Raw genomic sequence first — 23,161 nt, forward strand, 5'->3', positions numbered from 1 at the left:
CAGACAGGATAATGAGAAAAAGCTCAATAAAATGAAAAATAGTATTTCCCAGAAAAGGAATGCTTCCTAAAAATTGTCAACTTATAGCAAGCAAGCTAGTACTCCCTCTATTAAGGTATACATGTGTTAGTACATCTACTTACATAAGTACAGTTATAAGGATTTACTCCCAATCTATTTAGGAAAAGGGAACAAAATAGAACCACACCTAGCTTAGTGGCAACATGCCCAAGAAACTTAAGGGAATCAGTGTTCCAGTTCCCTTCTTTCCTACCTATAATAGGCTGAGTTAGTTCTCTATATCCATTAACTGTTGTCCTAACAACAGAAGTGATGTTCAAAACAGAAACTTCAGTCCAGTTGTATCCCACCGTCTTCCTTATTCCCTCCCTCCCTCCTTGCGTACTTACATGCTTTCACAGAATTTAGTAAGCGTTGGGGGCTTGTCCTGATTCCTCCGATGGCGAAACCAGCATTGGATTTTTCGGACATTCCAATCCAGCTGCTTTGACAGGCCCTCCAGCCTTTTCTTATCAGGATACTGTGAATGTATAACCAGAGTCAGAACACCCGTCTCCTCATACCCCTCCTTCAATCCCATTGACTAGCTGAGCGACAAGGTATGATAGCCATAAGTGGCTCAAGTGATGTTTATCTTTCCAAGTTTTATCCCAAAGTCATTTTTAGTAAGAAATTTTATCTTACATATCAAGGACCTGTACTGCTCACCTATACATATCCTTTTGTCTCTTCCTCCAGCCCAAGCTGAGTAAAAAAGGATATTAAAAACCCAAATTGCAGGCCAGGCATGGTGGCTCATGCCTGTAATCCTGGGATTTTTGAAGGCTGAGGGCCGAAGGATGGCTTGAGCCCAGGAGTCCGAGACCAGCCTGGGCAACATGGCAAAACCTTGTCTCTCCAAAAAACAAAAAACCCAAACTGCAAAGGCTATCAGTACTGTCTCCATCTCGATCACACAACTAGGCAGTGACAGAAACTGGAACAAGGAAAAACAAAAACCAGATATGGTATGTGTCTGGGGAAAGAGGGGTAAGGGTGGCTGCTGGGCCTAAAACTCAAACCTACTACGTACGTAAACTTGACATACGTAGGGCCCAAAGGTTTTCCCTGAGGGGATAAAGCTCTCCATATAGCTACATGGACTACTCAAATATGAAGGACCATCCCATCCTATCCTTACCCTTAGAGGTACGTGCTCTCTATCCTCCCCTGCCCCATGGAGCAACGCCTTATGTGAATATTCCTCTCTGTTTCTTTGCCCACTTACCTTGGTAATAGATATGAACACCTTTTCAAGGATGGCATTGGGTTGGGCCTGATAAGGACCACTGTCCTCGATGCCAATACAGAGTGCACAGGGTTTGGCAATAAATCTGTAATGGAGAAAACCCACGGGCCAATTCTTTTTAAAAAAATTTTATTTATAGTTGACACATAATAATTGTACATATTTATGGGGTACAATGTGATGTTTCAATGCATGTATACATAGTATAATGATGAAACTGGGGTAATTACCATATCCATCACTTTCAACATTTATCACTTCTTTAGGGTGACAATGTTCACCAGCCTCAGTCTCCCAAAATGCTGGGATTACAGGCGTGGGCCACTGTGCTGGCTGGAAGCTTTTTAGAGATGCATAATCTTGAGCCCATCTCAGACTTGCAAAATCAGAATCTGCATTTTAACAAGATCCCCAGGTGATTCACATGTCCATTAAAATGTGAGAACCACTAATCTACTTCATAAGAATCTTGTAAGTAATTCAGTGAGATAATGTATATGAAAGACCCTGGCACAAAGGAGGTGATTAATAAATGGCAGTTTCCTTACATCAAAAGACCAAGATCTTAATTGGAGGGAAAAGTAGAACTGAGACTAAGCTCTTCCTGCATATAGATATCCTGGATCTTGGATACCTTCCTGCCTAACCAAGAGATTATGGAAATACTTAGATCTTTCAGGAGTCGAGAAGAAAGAAATCAGGAAGCTAGGAAAGGTGAGAAGGAAATCACCTATTAGCACTCTATCGTAGTCTCAGATCTACTAATAAGGCATATAAACTTGGTAAAATCACTTACCTCTTGGGTCTTGGTTTCATCATCTAAAAGAAGAGGTTATATCAAGCAGAGTCCCAAGGATTTAAATTTTTAAAAAGAATAAAAAAGCCGGGCGTGGTGGCTCACGCCTGTAATCCCAGCACTTTGGGAGGCTGAGGCAGGAGGATCACAAGGTCAGGAGTTGGAGACCAGCCTGGTCAACATAGTGAAACCCCGTCTCTACTAAAAATACAAAAAAAAATTATCTGGGCGTGGTGGTGGGCGCCTGTAATCCCAGCTACTTGGGAGGCTGAGGCAGGAGAATTGCTTGAACCCTGGAGGCGGAGGTTGCAGTGAGCCGAGATTGTGCCACTGCACTCCAGCCCAGGCGACAGTGTGAGAATCCGTCTCAAAAAAAAAAAAAAAAAAAAGAAGAAGAATAAAAAATAAAAAGAGGTTATATGAGATGATTTCTAAGATTTTTTTGTATATCTAAGATTCTATGATGTTATCATTGATTGATTATAATTAATTTCCAACTTTTGAATCTTTGAAAATTGAGGAACTATTCCTTGGTTCTTCAAGAAAGATCTCACTCTCCCCCGTAATCAGAGATTTTTAAGAACATCAGCACTAGGAAAACTCTATATTGCCACTTTCAGGATAAGTCAAAACCAGTTTTAGCCCTTAGCATCTTAAGGAGTCCCATAATGAAAATATGACTGGGAGGTGTAAAATGGAGTGCCGTTAACCTATTTTCTTGAGCTGCATTTGAACCTAGAATATATTATCTCTAAAGGAGGGATTGAGAATAAGAAACTTTATCTCCCTCTATGAAAACTTTTTACCTTATCACCAAAGTTCCTGAGCCATAGAGTAATATTTATTCAGAGCATAAATTTAGCCACATCTGTAACACATTCTCTTTTACACCGGTGGGGGGGAAAAAAAAAATAGTTCCATTCAAAGGCCAATGCCAGTGGATACCTTAATTTACATTTACTGGTATACTATTCTGTATACCAATAATATTTAACCCCCAACTCATGTTTAAACTCCTTGTAAACACAAATAGACTGCTTTTATATTTACCAAGGTACTATGCTCAGCAGTTGCTCAGTAACTGACAAGCAACATGTTTTAGTGAAACCCACTCTTGTTGTATTGGAGGTCAATTCTGACCCAAAATTAATCAGCATTCAGAAGAGTAAATGAGGCCGTCATTCTTTGTTGTTGAGTTGATGCCATATCAGAGATAAAAATCATCTAAAAACCCTGTCTCCTCCTTTCTCCTATCGACATAATTGCATGAAAATCCAAAGGCAGAAAACAGCCTTTCCAATTCCTACTCTTACCCCTAACCCAGGCTTCTTTAATCCAGAGGCAGTCAGCTGATTAAAACTCAGATCTGCAGTTAGACAGATTTTACCAGCTGAAAGACCTTGTGACTGTTACATACCCATAGAATGGAGATAATATCTACCTCACAGGGTTATTTTAAAGATAAAATGAAACAATGTATGCCTACACCAATACCTGACACTTAGCAAACATTCATTAAAGAGTAGCTATTATTATTTCACTAGAAACATATTTCAGTCTGGGTACTCTCTGGTACCTCCAGCAGAAAGTGAGAAGCAAGAAATACTCTTTGATATAACAGGTCTATATTCTGCTCACCTCGGTGAAGCCAATTTTAAAATTACTATTATCTGGATCATGGAGTGGACTTAACAATCTAGAATTGTCATTAGCTCACATCCTGCCCTCGTTAGTTCAGAGTTCGGTGAAAAGCATAAAGCTACTCATATCCAGTCAGTTCCAGCTATATGGAGCGTAAGAACATTTGACAGCCGGGCGCAGTGGCTCACGCTTGTAATCCCAGCACTTTGGGAGGCCGAGGTGGGCGGATCACGAGGTCAGGAGATCGAGACCACGGTGAAACCCCGTCTCTACTAAAAATACAAAAAATTAGCCGGGCGTGGTGGCGGGCGCCTGTAATCCCAGCTACTCGGGAGACTGAGGCGGGAGAATGGCATGAACCCGGGAGGCGGAGCTTGCAGTGAGCCGAGATCGCGCCACTGCACTCCAGCCTGGGCGACAAAGTGAGACTCCGTCTCAAAAAAAAAAAAAAAAAAAGAACATTTGACAAATACTTGTTGATTGTTTATTTTGTGCTACAGAATGAAGCTTTATTATATTTTCCAGATGTGATTGGAAAATAATCTTTTCTAATTTGTGATAAAAATTAAATATATAGATTTAGTTATACACAGTTAATGAATTACCTTACTGAAGAAAGTGAAATTATTTGAAATTATAGCTTTTGAGAAAGTATTAATTCTACATCATACAAAAGGTTGGTATTTGGTATAACTTATAAAACAGGTATCTAGGCCAGGCGCGGTGGCTCATGCCTGTAATCCCAGCACTTTGGGAGGCTGAGGCGGGCGGATCACGAGGTCAGGAGTTCGAGACCAGCCTATCCAACATGGTGAAACCCCATCTCTACTAAAAATACAAAAAGTTAGACAGGCGTGGTGGTGTGTGCCTGTAACCCCAGCTACTCAGGAGGCTGAAGCAGGAGAATTGCTTTTACCCAGGAGGCGGAAATTACAATGAGCTGAGATCACGCCATTGCACTCTCTCTGGCCTGGGTAACAGAGCGAGACTCCATCTCCAAAAAAAAAAAAAAAAAAAATAGGTACCTAGGGTGGTCAATTTCCAGAGCCTGGCATTCATCATTTCTGCTACATCAGCATTTCTCAAAGTGTGGTTTAGAGACCCCTGGGGGATCCAGAGACCCTTTCAGTAGGTCTACAAGGTCAAAACTATCTTCAGAATAATTCTATAATTTCATAAAAATCTATTCTCTCTCATGAGAGTACAGTGGAACTTTCCATAAGTTACATGACATATAACAACAGACTGAATGCAGACGCTGACATGAGACTACAGCTGCCAGATATTTTCAAAAATGTTAAAATGCTACTCTTCTCACAGTTTTTTGTTTTGGAAAATAGTTATTTTTCATAAAACGTAATGAGTTCATTGTTATTTATTTATATTGAGACAGGGTCTCACTCTGCCACCCAGGCTGGAGTGCAGTGGTGTGATCACTGCTCACTGCAGCCTTGACTTCCTAAGCTCAAGTGATCCTCCCACCTCAGCCTCTCAAGTAGCTGGGACTACAGGTGTTGGCCATGCCCAGCTAATTAAAAAATTTTTTTTTTTGTAGAGACAGGGTTTCACCATGTTTCCCAGGCCATTGCTATTTTTAAATGAATAAATATGGGCTGGGCACGGTGGCTAATGCCTGTTATCCTAGCACTTTGGGAGACTGAGACAGGTGGATCACTTGAGCCCAGGAGTTTGAGACCAGCCTGGGAAACGTGGTGAAACCCTGTCTCTCCCCAAAACACAAAAGTTAGACAGGTGTGGTAGCTCATGCCTGTGGTCCCAGCAACTTGGGAGGTTGAGGTGGGAGGATCACTTGAGCCTGGGAGGTCGAGGCTGCAGTGGGCTGTGATTGCGCCACTGCACTTCAGCCTGTGTGATAGAGCCAGATCCTGTCTCAAAAATAAATAGGCTGTATGCGGTGGCTCATGCCTGTAATCCCAGCACTTCGGGAGTCTGAGGTGGGCAGACTGCTTGAGCTCAGGAGTTCAAGACCAGGCTGGCCAACATGGTGAAACCCCATCTCTACCAAAAAATACAAAAATTAGCCAGGCATGGCGGCACATACCTGTAGTCCCAGCTGCTCAGGAGGCTGAGGTGAGAGGATCTCTTGAACTCGGGAGACAGAGGTTGCAGTGAGCTGAGATCTCACCACTGCACTCCAGTCTGGGCGACAAAGCAGACTCTGTCTCAATAATAAATAAATAAATAGGCCGGGCGTGGTGACTCAGACTTGTAATACCGGCACTTTGGGAGGTTGAGGCAGGCTGATCACTTGAGGTCAGGAGTTTGAAACCAGCCTGGCCAACATGGCGAAATGCCATCTTCTACTAAAAATACAACAACAAAAAATTAGCCGGGCATGGTCGTGCACACCTGTATTCCCAACTACTCAGGTGGCTAAGGCAGGAGAATTGCTTGAACCCGGGAAGCGAAGGTTGCAGTGAGCCAAGATTGCGCTACTGCACTCCAGTTGGGGTGACGGAGCGAGACTCCATCTCAAAAAAAAAAAAAAAAAAAAAAAATATATATATATATATATATGTGTGTGTGTGTGTGTGTGTGTGCGTGTAGACATTTTATACATGTATAAATACATGTAGAAAACATGTACATTTTCCCCATTTTTTTTCTAAAACAGTAGACATTGATAGGTACTATCCACATAAACAAAAACTCTTTGGGATCCTTGAAAATTTTTTAAGATTGTAAAGGAGTCCTGAGATCATAGTTTGAAAACTGCTGTGCTAGATGATACTGACAAATTATACTTTTAGTGTGGCTTTCTGTCTTCTCCAGGATCAATCCACATTTTAAAATAATTTGTCAGACAAGATTTTTCCTTTCCTGGCAGATTTTAGTAAGTAGGCATTTAGTGGTCTATAAAAAGAAGCTACTACTTTCCACCTGTAACTCCAGGAACACGAGTCTAGTGACCCATCCTGACAGTATTAGATTTGTCCTGCTTTGTAGAGATCATTTCACTCTGCCCTTTTCCTGCTCTCCAGATACATAGCAGCAGTTGACCTAAGCCTGGGTTAATTAGGATGAAATTACCTAGTGCTTTCGCTTTTTCCTATCAAAGACAGGATGTATATTCACAATGCTACTTTTGTGATTCATTACACCACTGATGAATATGAATTATACACAAATAAAACCAAAGTCTAGATTAAGCTTCTCAACTATTGTGGCAAGTAACACAAATGGGCTATACTTATGCTGAGATATTGATTTTAGCTCTCAGGGTGATCCATGGGGCCTTCGGGTAGCCAGAAACCTTTAGTCTGTAGTCTCTGGCCTCATATACCTTACTGTATAATGCAAATGTTATTTATGTATTTATTTAGAGACAGAGTCTCGCTCTGATGCCTAGGCTGAAGTGAAGTGTGGTGGCGTGATCTGGGCTCACTGCAACCTCCGCCTCCCAGGTTCAAGTAATTCTTGTGCCTCAGCCTCCCAAGTAGTAGCTGGGACTACAGGCGTGCACCACCATGCCCAGCTAATTTTTGTATTTTTAGTAGAGACGGGGTTTCACCACATTGGCCAGGCTGGTCTTGAGCTCCTGACCTCAAGTGATCTGCCTGCCTCGCCTCCCAAAGTGCTGGGATTACAGGCGTGAGCCAGCATACTCAGCCACAAATGTTATTTTTTATGTGTGCAGCAATATTTCCAGATTGAGAAGTACCAGCTTAGATCAATTTCTGGAAAAATATAAAGTGCCAAAGTAGACATATAAAAAGAACAGGAGTTTAAGACCAGTCTGGGCAACATGGTGAGACCCCGTCTCTACAAAAAATTTTAAAAATTAGCTGGATGTGGTGGCATGTGCCCATGGTCCCAGCTACTGCGGAGGCTGAGGCAGGAGGACTGCTTGAGCCCAGGAGGTGGAGGCTGCAGTGAGCCCTGATTGTGCCACTACACTCCAGCCTGGGTGACAGAGTGAGACGCCATCTCCAAAACATAAAATAATGAAATAAAAAAAAGTTTGGGAGTGAAAGATGAGTTGAGTTTTGTGTATGCTGAATCTGAAGTACCCATGGGACACTGAAATGGAACTGTCTAGCATGCAAATACACTTGGAAAAGGGGCTTGGGTATGATATATATATAGAGAGAAAGAACAGAATATACGAATACAAATGAATGAGAATGTAAGTGATAGCTAAATTTGTGGGGGTGGCTGTGATTACATATGAAAGGAATATAAACTTAAAAGAGAACTGAGGTCAGAACGCTGGACAACATCAGCATAAAAGGTGAATTTAGGGGACAGGAAGGTCAGAGGTGGAGTTGTATCAAATAAGGGAAAGACCAAGACAAGGACTTCAGTATCTACTACATTTGGCAATTTTTGGAGATCTGTAGTAACCTTCACCAAAGAAATTCCAGTAAAATAAAGACTCTAAAACACAGCAGTGAGTTAAAGCAGTTAAAGATATAGGAGGAAAGAAGTAGAAATAGCCAAACCCTCAAGCATTTAGGCTAAGAAGAAAATGGAATGTCCTCAACTTTGGCATCAGAATCACTCAATCTAAACTAATCACATCTAAAACCAATCTCCCTGTGCTTTAGACCCACTCTTTACTGATCAGAAATTTCATTCTACTTATCCCTCCTTCCTTCTATTATCTTCAGCCTCACTCTCAACTTTGTTCTTCTCATCAGATCTTAAACATGCTCAAGTTTTTCACATCTTAAAACAGCCCTCCCGGTCCCTAGCACCCTCTGGCCTTCCCCAAACTCACAACTAAACTCCCACACATTCCTCAACTCTCCTTTCTCTCCCCTCTGGCTTCTGTCCCTACACTCCACTGAAGCTGTTCTTGCCAAAGTTGTCAATGATCTCCATATTGTGAAAACAAATGGATGCTTTTCAGTCCTTTATCTTACTTGACCTTTCAGCAGCATTTTATTAGGTTGGTGCAAAAGTAATTCCCATTACTTTTAATGGCAAAAACCACAATTACTTTTGCACCAACCAAATACATTAATGACTAATCTCCTTCTTGAAATGCCCTTTTCTCTTCCTTACTGCCACTCTTCCTAGTCTTCTCCCTCTACCTCTTTGGCAGTGGAACTAGACTGCCTGGTAAGCACTGCTAGTTGAGTCACCTTGGACAAGTTCCTCTGTGCTTCAGTTCTCTCATCTGTAAAATGAGGATAACAGTAATGCCTACCTACCTCATAAACTTACTAAAGAGGATTCAAGCTTAGCACTTAGAACAATGCCTAGGACAAAGTAAACACTTATTAAACACCCACTTTGAGATGGAGTCTCCCTCTGTCACCTGGGCTGGAGTGCAATGGCACAATCTTGGCTCACTGCAACCTCCACCTCCCAGGTTCGATTCTGCCTCAGCCTCCCGAGTAGCTGGGATTACAAGTGCCCACCACCACACCTGGCTAACTTTTGTATTTTTAGTAGACACGGGTTTCACCATGCTGGCCAGGCTGGTCCCGAACTCCTGGCCTCTAGTGGATTCACCCACCTCGGCCTCCCAAAGTGTTGGGATTACAGGCGTGAGTCGCCGTGCGCGGCCTATACCAACTACTAATATTATCAAATAACGTATGGCTGTCATTCCTCTATCTCCTTTGCAGTTTATTTTTCCTCTGCCTTTTCCTGAAACATGGTGTTTCCTCAGGGTTCACTTAGAGGTTCTTTTCGTACTCTACACGCTCACCCTCAGTAACCTCATTCAGTTATGGTAGAGGGTCTCAAGGTATGGACTGCAGATCCCTGAGGGTTCCTGAGGCACTCTCAGGGGCTCTACAAACTAAACTATTTTCATAACAATATTATTATTTGCCTTTTTCACTGTGTTGACATTTGCAGTGATTGTGCAAATCAATGGTAGGTAAAACATTATGGTACTTTAGACCAAATCAAGGTAGTGACACCAAACCATACTAGTAGTTACTATACTGTAGAGCTAGGTCTTCTCAATTTTTAAAACATGCCAGTTTTGCTTAAGAATGTCCTTGATGAAGCACTACAAATTATTACTTTTATTAAATCTTGACCCTTGAATATATTTTTTAAAAGTATTCTGTGATTGGGCACAGTGGCTTATGCCTGTAATCCCAGCACTTTAGGAGGCTGAGGCAAGCGGATCACTTGAGGTCAGGAGTTCGAGACCACCCTGGCCAACATGGTGAAACCCAGTCTCCACTTATTCTGTGATAAAATGGATGTACCCAAAAAGCACTTCTGATGCATACCAAAGTATATGGCTCCCAAGGAAAACCATTTGTATGACTACTGCAAGCTGAATAAACTAAGTCGCTTTTTCCATAGAATACCACTTTTACCTGAAAGGACTGACAGACTAACGTTAGTCAGCTCTGAGTATTTAGCAAAAACTTTCTCAAAAATAAATGAGGCCAGACGCAGTGGCTCATGCCTGTAATCCCAGCACTTTGGGAGGCGGAGGCGGGCGGATCACCTGAGGTCAGGAGTTTGAGACCAGCCTGGCCAACACAGTAAAACCCCATCTCTACTAAAAATATAAATATTAGCCAGGCGTGGTGGCGGCCGCCTGTAATCCCAGCTACTCGGGAGGCTGAGGCAGGAGAATTGCTTGAACCCAGAAGGCAGAGGTTGTAGTGAGCTGAGATCCTGCCACTGCACTCCAGCCTGGGCGACAGAGCAAGACTTTGTCTCAAAATAATAATAATAATAGTAATAACTATAATAAGTGAGCCCGTCATTTCAAGAAAAGCATTGTTGCCAATGATAAAATTCAAGCTTTCAAGTGAAACTTAGAATGTTTAGAAAACTTTTACCTGCCTTTCAGCCTGACAACTTCTCAATACTTAAGACTTTTCTGATGAGATTGGTTATAATGAGATAAACTAATATGATTTTTTTTTTTTTTTTTTTTTTTTTTTCTGAGACGGAGTCTCACTCTGTTGCCAGGCTGGAGTCCCGTGGCATGATCTTGGCTCACTGCAACCTCTGCCTCCTGGGTTCAAGCGATTCTCCTGCCTCAGCCTCCCGAGTAGCTGGGACTAGAGGCATGCACCACCACGTCCAGCTAATTTTTGTATTTTTAGTAGAGACGGGGTTTCACCATGTTGGCCAGGATGCTCTCAATCTCTTGACCTTGTGATGCGCCCACCTCGGCCTCCCAAAGTGCTGGGATTACAGGCAAGATTTTAAAATATTGTATAATGTCACATATTGACATGTGGGACATTTGCATAACTGAATGAACCAGTATTTTCCAAATGATGGATACATGATGTCCATTCAAACTGTAATATAGGCCAGGCATGGTGGCTCACGCCTATAATCCCAGCACTTTGGGAGGCTGAGGCAGGCGGATCACCTGAGGTCAGGAGTTTGAGACCAGCCTGGCCAATATGGTGAAACCCCATCTCCACTAAAAATACAAAATTAACTGGGCGTGATGGCGCATACCCATAATCCCAGCTACTTGGAAGGCTGAGGCAGGAGAATCATTTGAACCTGGGAGGCAGAGGTTGCAGTGAGCTGTGACTGCACCATTGGACTCCAGCCTGGGCGACAAGAGCAAAACACCACCTCAAAACAACAACAACAAAACACAATGAACATAGAACAATGGATTTTAACATAATAAAATGAAAAGCTCATTAATATGGCTTCAGATTCTACCTAGGAATCAACGTTTAAGAAACTGCTACTTGTGGCTGGGCGTGGCACGCCTGTAATCCCAGCACTTTGGGAGGCCGAGGCAGGCAGATCACGAGGTCAAGAGATCTAGACCATCCTGGCCAACATGGTGAAACCCCATCTCTACTAAAAATGCAAAACTTAGCTGGGTGCGGTGGCACATGCCTGTAATCCTAGCTACTCGGGAGGCTGAGGCAGGAGAATCGCTTGAACCAGGGAGTCGAAGGTTGCAGTGAGATCGCGCCACTACACTCCAGCCTGGGAACAGAGCAAGACTCCGTCTCAAAACAAGACAAAACAAAACAAAAAACTGCTACTTGTGTTTTGGTGTAGTATCAAAGATAAATATCAAATTATTTGAAAGGGCTATTAAAATACTTCCTGCTTTTCAATGACAAAGCTGTGTGAGGCCATCTTTTCTTCATATACTTCAATCAAAACAATGTATCACAAGAGATTGAATGCAGAAGCTGCTAGGATAATCCAGCTGTCTTCTATTAAGCCAGATATTAAAGAGATTTGCAAAAATGTAAAATCAATGCTGTTCTTCTATTTTTTCTTTTGGAAAATAATATTTTTCAAAAAGCTTATTTATGTTAACATGTAAATCAATTTATTATTATTTTTTGTCTATTTTCTCCCTTTTTGTGGAGAACGAGGTCTTGCTATGTTACCCACACAGGTCTTGAGCTCCTGAGCTCAAGCTATCCTCCTGTCTCTGCCTCCCTAAGTGCTGGGATTACAAGTGTGAACCCCTGCACCTGGCCTGTTGTTATTTTTAATGAATTAATAAGCATTTCTTAAATTTCTTTTTGAGACAGAGTTTCGCTCCGTCACCCAGGCTGGAGTGCAGTGGCGCTATCTTGGCTCACTGCAACCTCTGCTCTCAGGTTCAAGTGATTCTCCTGCCTCAGCTGCCCAAGTAGCTGGGACTATAGGCGTGCACCACCATGCCTGGTTAATTTTTGCATTTTTAGTAGAGACGGGGTTTCACCGTGTTGGCCAGGCTGGTCTTGAACTCCTGACCTCAGGTGATCCACCCACCTAGGCCTCCCAAAGTGCTGGGATTATAGGGGTGAGCCATCGTGCCCGGTCAGCATTTCTTAAATTTCTCAATTTTAATTTAAAATATGGTAAAGTTGATGGGTATATGTAACCCACATAAACAAAAGCTCCTTGGAGTCCTCAGTAATTTTTAAAAGTGAAAAACAATCCCTGAGAACAAAAAGTTACAATGTATTCTTCTGAGTAAATTCTTAAAAGAAGAGGATTCCTTGTATACAAGGTATTGCACTTTTCAAGATACCTATACCACCAAACCCAACATTTCTTGCATGGTCTGTGCTCAAGTGATCTTTGCAGCTTCCTTTGAGGGCCATTAAAAAAAAAAATTGCCAGGCACGGTGACTCAGGCCTGTAATCCCAGCACTTTGGGAGGCTGAGGCAGGTGGATCACGAGGTCAAGAGATCGAGACCATCCTGGCTAACAGGGTGAAACCCCATTTCTACTAAAAATACAAAAAAATTAGCCAGGCGTGGTGGCAGGCGCCTGTAGTCACAGCTACTCGGGAGGCTGAGGCAGGAGAATGGCGTGAACCCGGGAGGCAGAGCTTGCAGTGAGCCGAGATTGCGCCACTGCACTCCAGCCTGGGCGACAGAGCGAGACTCCATCTCAAAAAAAAAAAAAAAAAAAAAAAAAAGGCCCAGCCTGGGTAACATGATGAAATCTTGTCTCTACAAAAAATATAACAATTAGTGGCCGGGCATGGTGGCTCACGCCTGTAATCCCCAGCACTTTGGGAGGCCAAGGCGGGTGGATCACCTGTGGTCAGGAGTTTGAGACCAGCCTGACCAATATGGTGAAACCCCGTCTCTACTAAAAATACAAAAATTAGCTGGGTGTGGTGGCACACCTGCAGTCCCAGCTACTCGGAGGCTGAGGCAGGAGAACTGCTTAAACCTGGGAAGCAGAGGTTGCAGTGAGCTGAGATCGCGCCACTGCACTCCAGCCTGGGCGACAGAGCGACATTCTGTCTCAAAAAAAAAAAAAAAAAAAAGGCCGGCCGTGGTGGCTCACGCCTGTAATCCCAGCACTTTGGGAGGCTGAGGCGGGTGGATCACAAGGTCAGGAGATCGAGACCATCCTGACTAACACGGTAAAACCCCGTCTCTACTAAAAATACAAAAAAAAATTAGCCGGGTGTGGCAGCGTGCGCCTGTAGTCCCAGCTGCTGGGGAGGCCAAGGCAGGAGAATGGCGTGAACCTGGGAGGCAGAGCTTGCAGTGAGCCAACATCACGCCACTGCACTCCAGCCTGGGTGACAGAGCAAGACTCTGTCTCAAAACAAACAAACAAACTATATATATATATATATAAAACAATTAGTAGCCAGGTGTGGTGGCATGCACCTCTGGTCCCAGCTACTGGGAGGCTGAGGTGGGAGGATTGTTTGAGCCAAGAGGTGGAGGCTGTAGTGAGTCATGATCATGCCATTGCATTCCAGCGTGGCTGACAGAGTGAAGCTTAATACATACTTAAAAAATTTATCAGTATTAGTTTTTAATAGAGAAAATATTGATAGATATAACTCATATAAACAAAAGCTATTTGGGGTCTTCAATAATTTTTTAAAATATAAAGGAGTCCTGAGCAAAAGATTTGAGAACCCACTGCTGTACAGCATAGGAATCTCAGGAGTCAAAAAGGAAATTATGTAGCTGGGCCTGTAGTTCCAGCTACCATGGAGGCTGAGGCAGGTGGACTGATTGAGGCCAGGAGGTCAAGGCTGTAGTGACATCAGCCCTGTGAATGGCCACTGAATTCCAGCCTGGGTAATTGTGATGGTTAATACTGAGTATCAACTTAATTGGATTGAAGAATGCAAAACACTCATCCTGCACATGTCTGTGAGGGTGTTGCCAAAGGAGATTAACATTTGAGTCAGTGGGCTGGGAAAGGCAGAGCCACCCTTAATCTGGGTGGGCACCATCTAATCAGCTGCCAGCATGGCAAGAGGCAGAAAAACGTGAAAAGACTAGACTGGCCTAGCCTCCCAGCCTACATCTTTCTCTTGTGCTGGACTCTTCCTCCCCTCAAACATCGGACTCCAAGCTCTTCAGTTTTGGGACTTGGACTGGCTTTCCTTGCTCCTCAGTGTGCAGACGGCCTATTGTGGGACCTTGTGATAGTGTGAGTTAATACTTAATAAACTACCCTTCATATATATATCCATCCTATTAGTTCTGTCCCTCTAGAGAACCCTGACTGATACAGTAATATAGCAAGATTCCGTCTCTTAGGAAGGAAAATTAGAAAAAAAAACAGTAATTACTGTACTAGAGTCGCAACATCTCAAGCAGAAGTAGGTTTCAGAGTGATTCATTCAATAAACACTTACTGAATAGCTAATATGAATGTACAAAGCACTGCATTAGATACCTACAGTTTCATGGGGGAGACAAGTCCATAAACAGAGCCCAATCTGAAGGTCATTCCCCAAAAATAAGGCAGTTCATTCAAGATCTCTGAAATGGTTCTCTTCAAATTCCAGCTGTGACCTGACAAACATTTCTGACATTATTCACTTTACCTAGATCCTTGACTTCATTAAAGGCATACAACGGAGAATATTAGATGAGGAAAAAAGAAATTGTCCAAAAAAAAAGAGATCAAACCTGAAACAATAATTGACACTATCTAGACAGAAGCAAAATAATCTACTGTAGGCCAGGCATGGTGATTCATGCCAGTAATCTCAGCACTTTGGAAGGCCGAGGTGGAAGCATCACTTGAGCTCAGGAGTTCAAGACCAGCCATGGCAAAACCTCATCCCTACAAAAAATACAAAAATTAGCCAGGCACAGTGGCACATGCCTGTAGTCCCAGCTTCTTGGGAGGCTGAGGTGGCAAGATGGCTTGAGCCAGGGAGGTGGAAGTTGCAGTGATACCAGATTGTGCCACTGCACTCCAACTTAGGTGACAGAGTGAGACCATGACCAAAAAAAAAAAAAAAAAAAAAAAATCTGTAATAGATGTTTTTCTCAAGGAATGCATGTAGATTGTATATTTTTGTAAATCCAATCATTCTAATGTACTAGAAGAATTCTACTGAGAGGACACTAAAGTGAATTCAGGCCAAAGTGGTAGGATAAACCCACTTGTTCCTTTCATTAAACATATTTACCTTTTTTCAATGGATAATTATACAACTTAATGCATTTGCTTAAAATAGAAACACAAACACACATAAGGGATAACCACTGATTTTGTTGCTCTCTCCAGGGTAGAAATCATGGTTTATTCACCTTTTAATCCTTGGCACATAGTTTGATACCTTTTTATTTATTTTTACATTTTTCTTGTCCAACTTCTAAAACCATCACATATAGTTTGATATGACATATCCTAAGCTTTCAATAAATAGATGTTGAAGAATGAACAGATGAACAAATGGGTGAAAACTTAATTCTCAACTAAGAGGCAAAGTGTTTCATGGAAGTGTGCCACTTGTAAGGATGAAATTAAAACTCAGCCTTATCCTCCTGGGTCATCAGATAACCTACCAGTTTGGTGTTTATCAAGTGTAGGAGATGACTGATTTCTGGGGAATCAGTAGATATTCAAGTTAACCGATTTCAATCTATAACTGGAGATTGCCCTAAACACAACCACAACAATCTGATCTAGTTTGAGACACTTTATGCCTGTAATTGCGACTGCTTACTAATGCTGACAATACCCAAAAACTAAAAACTACAAGGAATATCCTTACAAGAAATCTTGTATTTTACAGAAGAGATATAGTAAGAGTGTGATTATTCTCAATGCCTTATCAGAGCTATGCAGTTCTGCATGGACATTTACCTACTTGACAAACTTTCTTATAGATCATTAACACCGAGAAGATAGATGTAAAAAGGCAAAATTATAGAGCAATGCTTGGCTAGAAGCAACTGTCAATCAAAGATTACTCAAGCGGCCGGGCGCGGTGGCTCACACCTGTAATCCCAGCACTTTGAGAGGCCGAGGCGGGCGAATCATGAGGTCAGGAGATAGAGACCATCCTGGCTAACACGGTGAAACCCCATCTCTATTAAAAATACAAAAAATTAGCCGGGTGTGGTGGCGGGCGCCTGTAATCCCAGCTACTCAGGAGGCTGAGGCAGGAGAATGGTGTGAACCCGGGAGGCAGAGCTTGCAGTGAGCCGAGATCCCGCCACTGCACTACAGCCTGGGCGACACAGGGCGAGACTCTGTCTCAAAAAAACAAAAAATTACTCAAAATAGAATATGACCAGTCATTTGAATATTTCAGAAAATAATTTACATTTAGAAATCTTATTTTTACTAAAATGTCTTAGATTCATTATTTAAAGGAACATCTAATACCTTTGCATCATCTTTTGATCCTAAAAAGTGTATCAAATGTGAATTTACATTAAAATTATTTTCTCAATTATTATTAATATTGTCTGAATTACTGTCATCACCATCCAACAGAAATATAATGTGAGTCACATATGTAATTTAAAATTTTCTTTTCTTTTTTGAGACAGGGTCTCGCTCTGTTGCCCAGGCTGGAGTGCAATGGTGCGATCTTGGCTCGCTGCAACCTCCACCTCACAGGTTCAAGCGATTCTCCTGCCTCAGCCTCCTGAGTAGCTGGGATTACAGGTGCCTACCACCACACCCAGCTAATTTTTGTATTTTTAGTGATGGGGTTTCACCATGTTGGTCAGGCTGGTCTCGAACTCCTGACCTCAGGTCATCTGCCCACCTCAGCCTCCCAAAGTGCTGGGATTATAGGCATTAGCCACCGTGCCCAGCCTGTAATTTAAAATTTTCTAATATCCACATTTTAAAAAGTGAAAAAGAAACAAGTGAAATTAATGTTGACAATGTATTTTGTTTAACTTGATATGTCAAAAGTACTGTCAATATGTAATCAATTAAAAATTGAGACCAGGTGTGGTGGCTCACACCTGTAATCCCAGCACTTTGGGAGGCCGAGGTGGGTAGATCACCTGAGGTCAGGAGTTCAAGACCAGTCTGGCCAACATGGCAAAACCCCATCTCTACTAAAAATACAAAAATTAGCTGGGCGTGGTGGTACACACCTGTAGTCCTAGCTACTCAGGAGGCTGAGGCAGGAGAATCGCTTGAACCCAGGAGGCGGAGGTTGCAGTAAGCTGAGATTGTGCCACTGCACTCTAGCCTGGGCAACAGAGCGAGACTCTGTCTCAAAAAAAAAAAAAAGAAAAAAAAAAGAAAAGAAAAAAGGAAATAAATGGAAACATGCACAAGAAAATGAATCACTACTCTTGTTGTCAGTTACATGACAGGCCAGCGAATGAGTCTGTTCAATCCCCACTGAGAGAATGGCATTGAGAAGGCTCTTTAGACACCCCAGTGAGGTTGCCTTGAAGTAATAAGAGAGAAGAGGGGACTGGAATAATGAATAAGCAGCGGTGAAAGCTCTCAGCTATCTCCTGTATAATTCGCCAAATTACTTTCTTCTGGCAACATAAAGCTCCTATTATAGTACCGTATTTAAAATAAATGAACCTATATAGATCTGATGGTATCAATATTGTCTCAAACTCCTACTTGATCCCAGGGAAAATATGCTCAAGGGACAAAATACTAAGTTTCAAACAATTTTATCTTTAAGATTCAGTTTAAGTCAGATCCAAGAGGCCTACTTGGACTTGGACCACACCTTGGACTATTCTTTCCCTAATCAGCACACAATATTCAAAGAAGCAACAAGTGGAAGACTTTCTTATCTCTCTTTTGATAGGTAACAGTGGGTAGCCTGAGTGTGTGTAAGAGGAAAGGGGAGAAAGAGAAGCTGTAGAAAAGTGTACAACATGCAAACATAGTATGGTGAAATTTAACAACAGAAACAAAGAAATTATAATTTCACCTCTCTTAAGCCAAATATCTATTTCAGATTGAATAATTAGATTCTGGGTTACTCCTCAGGGCATCTGAGTGGACAAGAATAGACCCTTCTCAATCATTATACTCACATGCTGCACTGAGGCACTGTGCAAGAGTACAGTCCACTGCAATGAACCAGTCAACAGAGGCCCACAAAGGCAAGCCTCTGTGCTTTGGTGGGTAATAATCACCTTTCTGCAGTTCTTTAACAAAATAGCTAAATATGCTTAACTTATGGTCAGATGGCTTTCCAAGTCATCCCCATCAGGTGAGGCTACAGTTCTCTATAGGGAATATGGAAACTTAAAAAATATTTAATAAATGCTCAGTGTGGTTGATGAGAAGGAAGAGAAAGTAAGACCAAATTGTACCCTCTATATTTATTCTTTGGGAGATTCCTGAAACACAAATAGAGACTATGTATCTAGGCACATAGAGTAAGATGCATTTAAATATGCAATAATGATATGAAACAAACAAAGCAAAGTTGGCCAGATGCGGTGGCTCACGCCTGTAATCCTAGCACTTTGGGAGGCCGAGGCAGGTGGATCACTTGAGGCCGGGAGTTCAAGACCGGCCTGGCCAACATGGCAAAACCCTGTCTCTACTAAAAATATGAAAATTAGCTGGCTGTGGTAGTGTATGCCTGTACTGCTAGCTACTCAAGAGGCTGAGGCATGAGAACTGCTTGAACCTGGGAAGCAGAGGCTGCAATGAGCTGAGATCAAGTCACTGCATTCCAGCCTGGGTGAGAGAGTGAGACTCCGTCTCAAAAAAAGAAAAAAAAAAAAAAAAGCAAAGTTCAAGTTAAAAGGATAATGTTAAATAACTAAGAACAGGATGAATACAGATTTGTTCTTCTTCTTTTTTTTTTTTTTTTTTTTTTTGAGACAGAGTCTCACTCTGTTGCCCAAGCTGGAGTGCAGTGGCATGATCTCAGCTCACCGCAACCTCTGCCTCCTAGGTTCAAGCGATTCTCCTGCCTCAGCCTCCCAAGTAGCTGGGACTTAAGGCGCATGCCACCACACCCAGCTAATTTCTTGTATTTTTAGTAAAGACAGGGTTTCACCATGTTGGCGAGGCCGGTCTCGAACTCCTGACCTCAGTTAATCCACCTGCCTTGGCCTCCCAAAGTGCTGGGATTACAGGCATGAGCCACCATGCCTGGCTGATTTGTTCTTTTTTTTTTTTTTTTTTTTTTAAATGTATATGAAGTGTGTAACAGGAAATAAATTTGTTCTTCAAATACTAGAATACTAGAACAAGAGGTTAAATCTTAACACTTGAAAGGGGGTTTAAGGAATAGGAAAAGATGAACGGCCCTATCAGTGAAAGAGAACTGGGCTGGGGAAAAAGACCAGTTGTATGTTGCAACCTCTGAAAAGCTGAAGGATGTTTCTAAGCCTTAGTAACTGTCTGTAAAAGGAGGCCGGAGTTCTAGCTTTTAGCAGTCTATGATTACTACATAAATCATTTCTACAAACTAAATAGGTAGGATTTTAGAATGAGAAAATGTATGCAAGGATTCTGGGCTCTGAAAAAAAGAGAAAATGTAGGAAAGATGACTAATTGTCCCAATATACCTCTTTATCTCTCTCTCTCTCTTTTTTTTTTTTGTGATAGAGTCTTGCTCTATTGCCTAAGCTGGAGTGCAGTGGTGTGATCTTGGCTCACTGCAACCTCCACCTCCCGGGTTCAAGAGATTCTCCTGCCTCAGCCTCCCAAGTAGCTGGGATTATAGGCACATGCCATCACGCCCAGCTAATTTTTGTATTTTTAGTAGAGATGGGGTTTCACCATGTTAGCCAGGTTGGTCTCGAACTCCTGACCTCAGGTGATCCGCCCGTCTCAGCCTCCCAAAGTGCTGGGATTACAGGCATGAGCCACTGTGCCTGGCCTCTCTTTCTTTAAGAGACAGGGTCTCACTCCTTTGCCCAGGCTGGAGTGCACTGGCGCTATCATAGTTCATTGCAGCTTTGAACTCCTGGGCTCAAGCCATCTTCCTGCATCAGCCTCCTGAGTAGCTGGGACTACAGATGCATGCCACCACATCTGGCTAACATTTTTATTTTTTGTAGGATCAGGGTCTCGCTATGCTGCCCAGGCTGATCTCAAAGTCCTGGTCTCAAGCAATTCTCTCACCTTGGCCTCCAAAGTGTTGGGATTACAGGTGTGAGCCACCATGCCAGGCCCCAATATTTATTTATTTTTGAGATGGAGTGTCGCTCTGTTGCCCAGGCTGGAGTCCAGTGGCACGATCTCAGCTCACTGCAACCTCCACCTTCCAGGTTCAAGCCATTCTCCTGCCTCAGCCTCCCAAGTAGCTGGGATTACAGGCGCCCGCCACTACGCGGGGCTATTTTTGTATTTTTAGTAGAGATGAGATTTCATGTTGTTAGCCAGGCTGGTCTCAAACTCCTGACCTCAAGTGATCTGCCTGCCTCGGCCTCCCAAAGTGCTGGGATTACAGGTGTGAGCCAGCATGCAAGGCCATGCCCCGATATTTTTGATATGCCTTCTATTGCATTCTACAAGTGGCTCTAGGCCAGGGGCAGTGGCTCATGCCAGTAATCCCAAAACTTTGGGAAGCTGAGGCAGCAGGATCGCTTGAGGCCAGGAGCTCAGGCCTCTACAAAAATTTATTTTATTTATTTTTCTGAGACAGGGTCTCACTCTATCACCCAGGCTGAAGTACAGTGGTTTGATCACGGCTCACTGCAGTCTCAACCTCCCGGGTTCAAGCAATCCTCCTGCCTCAGCCTCCCAAGTAGATGAGACTAGAGACTATAGGCATGCACCATCACACCCAGCTAATTTTTAAATTTTTTTGTAGAGACAAGGTTTCACCATGTTGCCAAGGCTGGTCTCAAACTCCTAGGCTCAAGTGATCTGCCCTCCTCGGCCTCCCAAAGTGCTGGGATTACAGGCATGAGCCACCATGCCCAGCCTCTACAATTTTTTTTTTTTTTTTTGAGACAGAGTTTTCCTCTGCAGCCCAGGCTGGAGTGCAACAGTGTGATCTTGGCTCACTGCAACCTCTGCCTCTCCAACTCAAGCAATTCTCATGCCTCAGCCTCCTGAGTAGCTGGGATTACAGGCATGTACCACTATGCCCAGCTAATTTTTATATTTTTAGTAGAGATGGGGTTTCACCATGTTGGCCAGGCTGGTCTCGAACTCCTGGCCTCAAGTGATCTCCCTGCCTCGGCCTCCCAAAGTGCTGGGATTACAGGTGTGAGCCACCATGCCCCGCTCTCCCAATTTTTTTTTTTTTTTTTAATTAGCTGGGCATAGTGGTGTGCACCTATGGTCCTGGCTACTTGGGAGGCTGAGGTAGGAGGATTGCTTGAGCCAAAGAGGTCGAGGCTGGAGTGAGCTTCGTGCCACTGCAGTCCAGCCTGGGTGAGGCTGAGACCCTGTCTCAAAAACAACAATAAGAGTGGAGTGGTCTATTTTCTTTATGGAAGACCAGAACGGTAAAAGAGGAATTGGCAAGTCAGCAGTGAATTATATTACTGAGGTAATGGGTCTTAAAAGAAACAAAATAGCAAGAGTGCTTCTAGGGTTAAACTTTCCTAAGAGCAAACATGAGACAAACAAGGTGCCTGTCTTTACTAGCCAAGAATTATCATACTAGAATGCTTTCAGCTCAGTATTCCCATCCACCTGTACTCCTCTGACACTGGAGCACCATAGAAACACTCAGATAGAATTCCCACAGGTAAAGGATCCCTTCCAGCAGCTCTGCCAGGGGATATATGTCTTCAGCCATCTGAGGGAACACTTTGGAATCTCAAGAGATACGTAAGTTTATATAAAATGGGTGTTTATAAGCAACAAAACTATTTCCTCTTACCACTAACATGGGGAAATTTCCATATTGGCACATATTTATATGAAAAGCAGAGATGTTTTTCTATGAAAATCACCTTTTAAAAAAAAATTTGTCCTGACTTGTGTATTTTCCTTTGTAGTGATTACATTGCCTTCCTCCTTTTTTTTTTTGGCCCTCATATACAGAGACTATGGAAGAGAGTACCTGGATCTAGTTTATTCCAAAGACAGACAAGCAGTTTGTGCCTCCACTCCAGGATGACTAACTACAACGATTACACGTAAAAAGACAAAACAAGGCCGGGCGCGGCGGTTCACGCTTGTAATCCCAGCACTTTGGGAGGCCGAGGCAGGCGTATTACGAGGTCAGGAGATCGAGACCTTCCTGGCTAAGACGGTGAATCCCCGTCTCTACTAAAAATACAAAAAATTAGCCGGACATGGTGGCGGGCGCCTGTAGTTTCAGCTACTCGGGAGACTGAAGCAGGAGAATGGCGTGAACCCGAGAGGCGGAGCTTGCAGTGAGCTGAGATCGCGCCACTGCACTCCAGCCTGGGCGACAGAGCGAGACTCCGTCTCAAAAAAAAAAGAAAAAGAAAAAGAAAAAAAAAAAAACCTTGCTACACTAAGTTCCTGAGGGCCAAGGAAAGCCATTTAGATCTTTGGGTTTCATTTGCTTCACTTAAGCATCTTTATTTTTGCACTTGAACGTCTGGCAGAGCATTTTGATGATGATGATGCACAAATACTACGAATAAATGGATGCGTGACTAGCTAAATAGAACACAAGATTTTGAAAGACTTGAGTCAAAAACAGTAGGCAAATCAAAGAAGCAATCCCAAACAGATGCTATCTTTCAGAAATTAACAGATTATTTCACCTGCAACATATTCCCATCCTAGAAAGGGCATTCCTGCATTACAATCATTTATGCTTGGATAAAGGCAAAACGAACAGATGTCCAAGAACCACCCTCATTACCTG

The 23,161-nt window shown here is 42.8% G+C and overlaps 1 protein-coding gene and 1 long non-coding RNA gene across 20 annotated transcripts in view; one reads left to right on the top strand and one right to left on the bottom strand.

The window, feature by feature from the left end:
- CERS5 (ceramide synthase 5) overlaps positions 1-23,161 on the bottom strand; it is a 38,081-nt gene that overhangs the window by 13,375 nt on the left and 1,545 nt on the right. For 9 of the 18 annotated variants that reach the window (NR_138532.3, NR_104035.3, NR_138533.3 and 6 more), the window contains exons 2-3: positions 1,289-1,394; positions 411-541 (exon numbers count right to left, since the gene is read on the bottom strand). Coding sequence is in view for 11 of the 18 variants with exons in the window: in NM_147190.5 (NP_671723.1) it covers positions 411-541; positions 1,289-1,394 (237 nt within the window). In the remaining 7 variants the exon portion in view is untranslated. Of the gene's footprint in view, positions 1-410; positions 542-1,288; positions 1,395-1,539; positions 1,702-2,105; positions 2,307-23,161 lie in introns of those variants that run through there. The other 9 variants (NR_138536.3, NR_138535.3, NM_001331072.3 and 6 more) reach the window with 3 other exon arrangements.
- On the top strand, positions 537-22,960 carry LOC124902931 (uncharacterized). 2 transcript variants are annotated; one of them, XR_007063304.1, is made up of 2 exons: positions 537-1,028; positions 22,363-22,960. It is a non-coding gene; the product is annotated as an uncharacterized LOC124902931 (long non-coding RNA). The 2 variants fall into 2 exon arrangements; XR_007063305.1 differs by lacking the exon at positions 537-1,028 and adding an exon at positions 21,713-22,146.

This window comes from Homo sapiens, chromosome 12 (genome assembly GCF_000001405.40).
Source record: "Homo sapiens chromosome 12, GRCh38.p14 Primary Assembly".
Classification (NCBI taxonomy): Eukaryota; Metazoa; Chordata; class Mammalia; order Primates; family Hominidae; genus Homo; species Homo sapiens.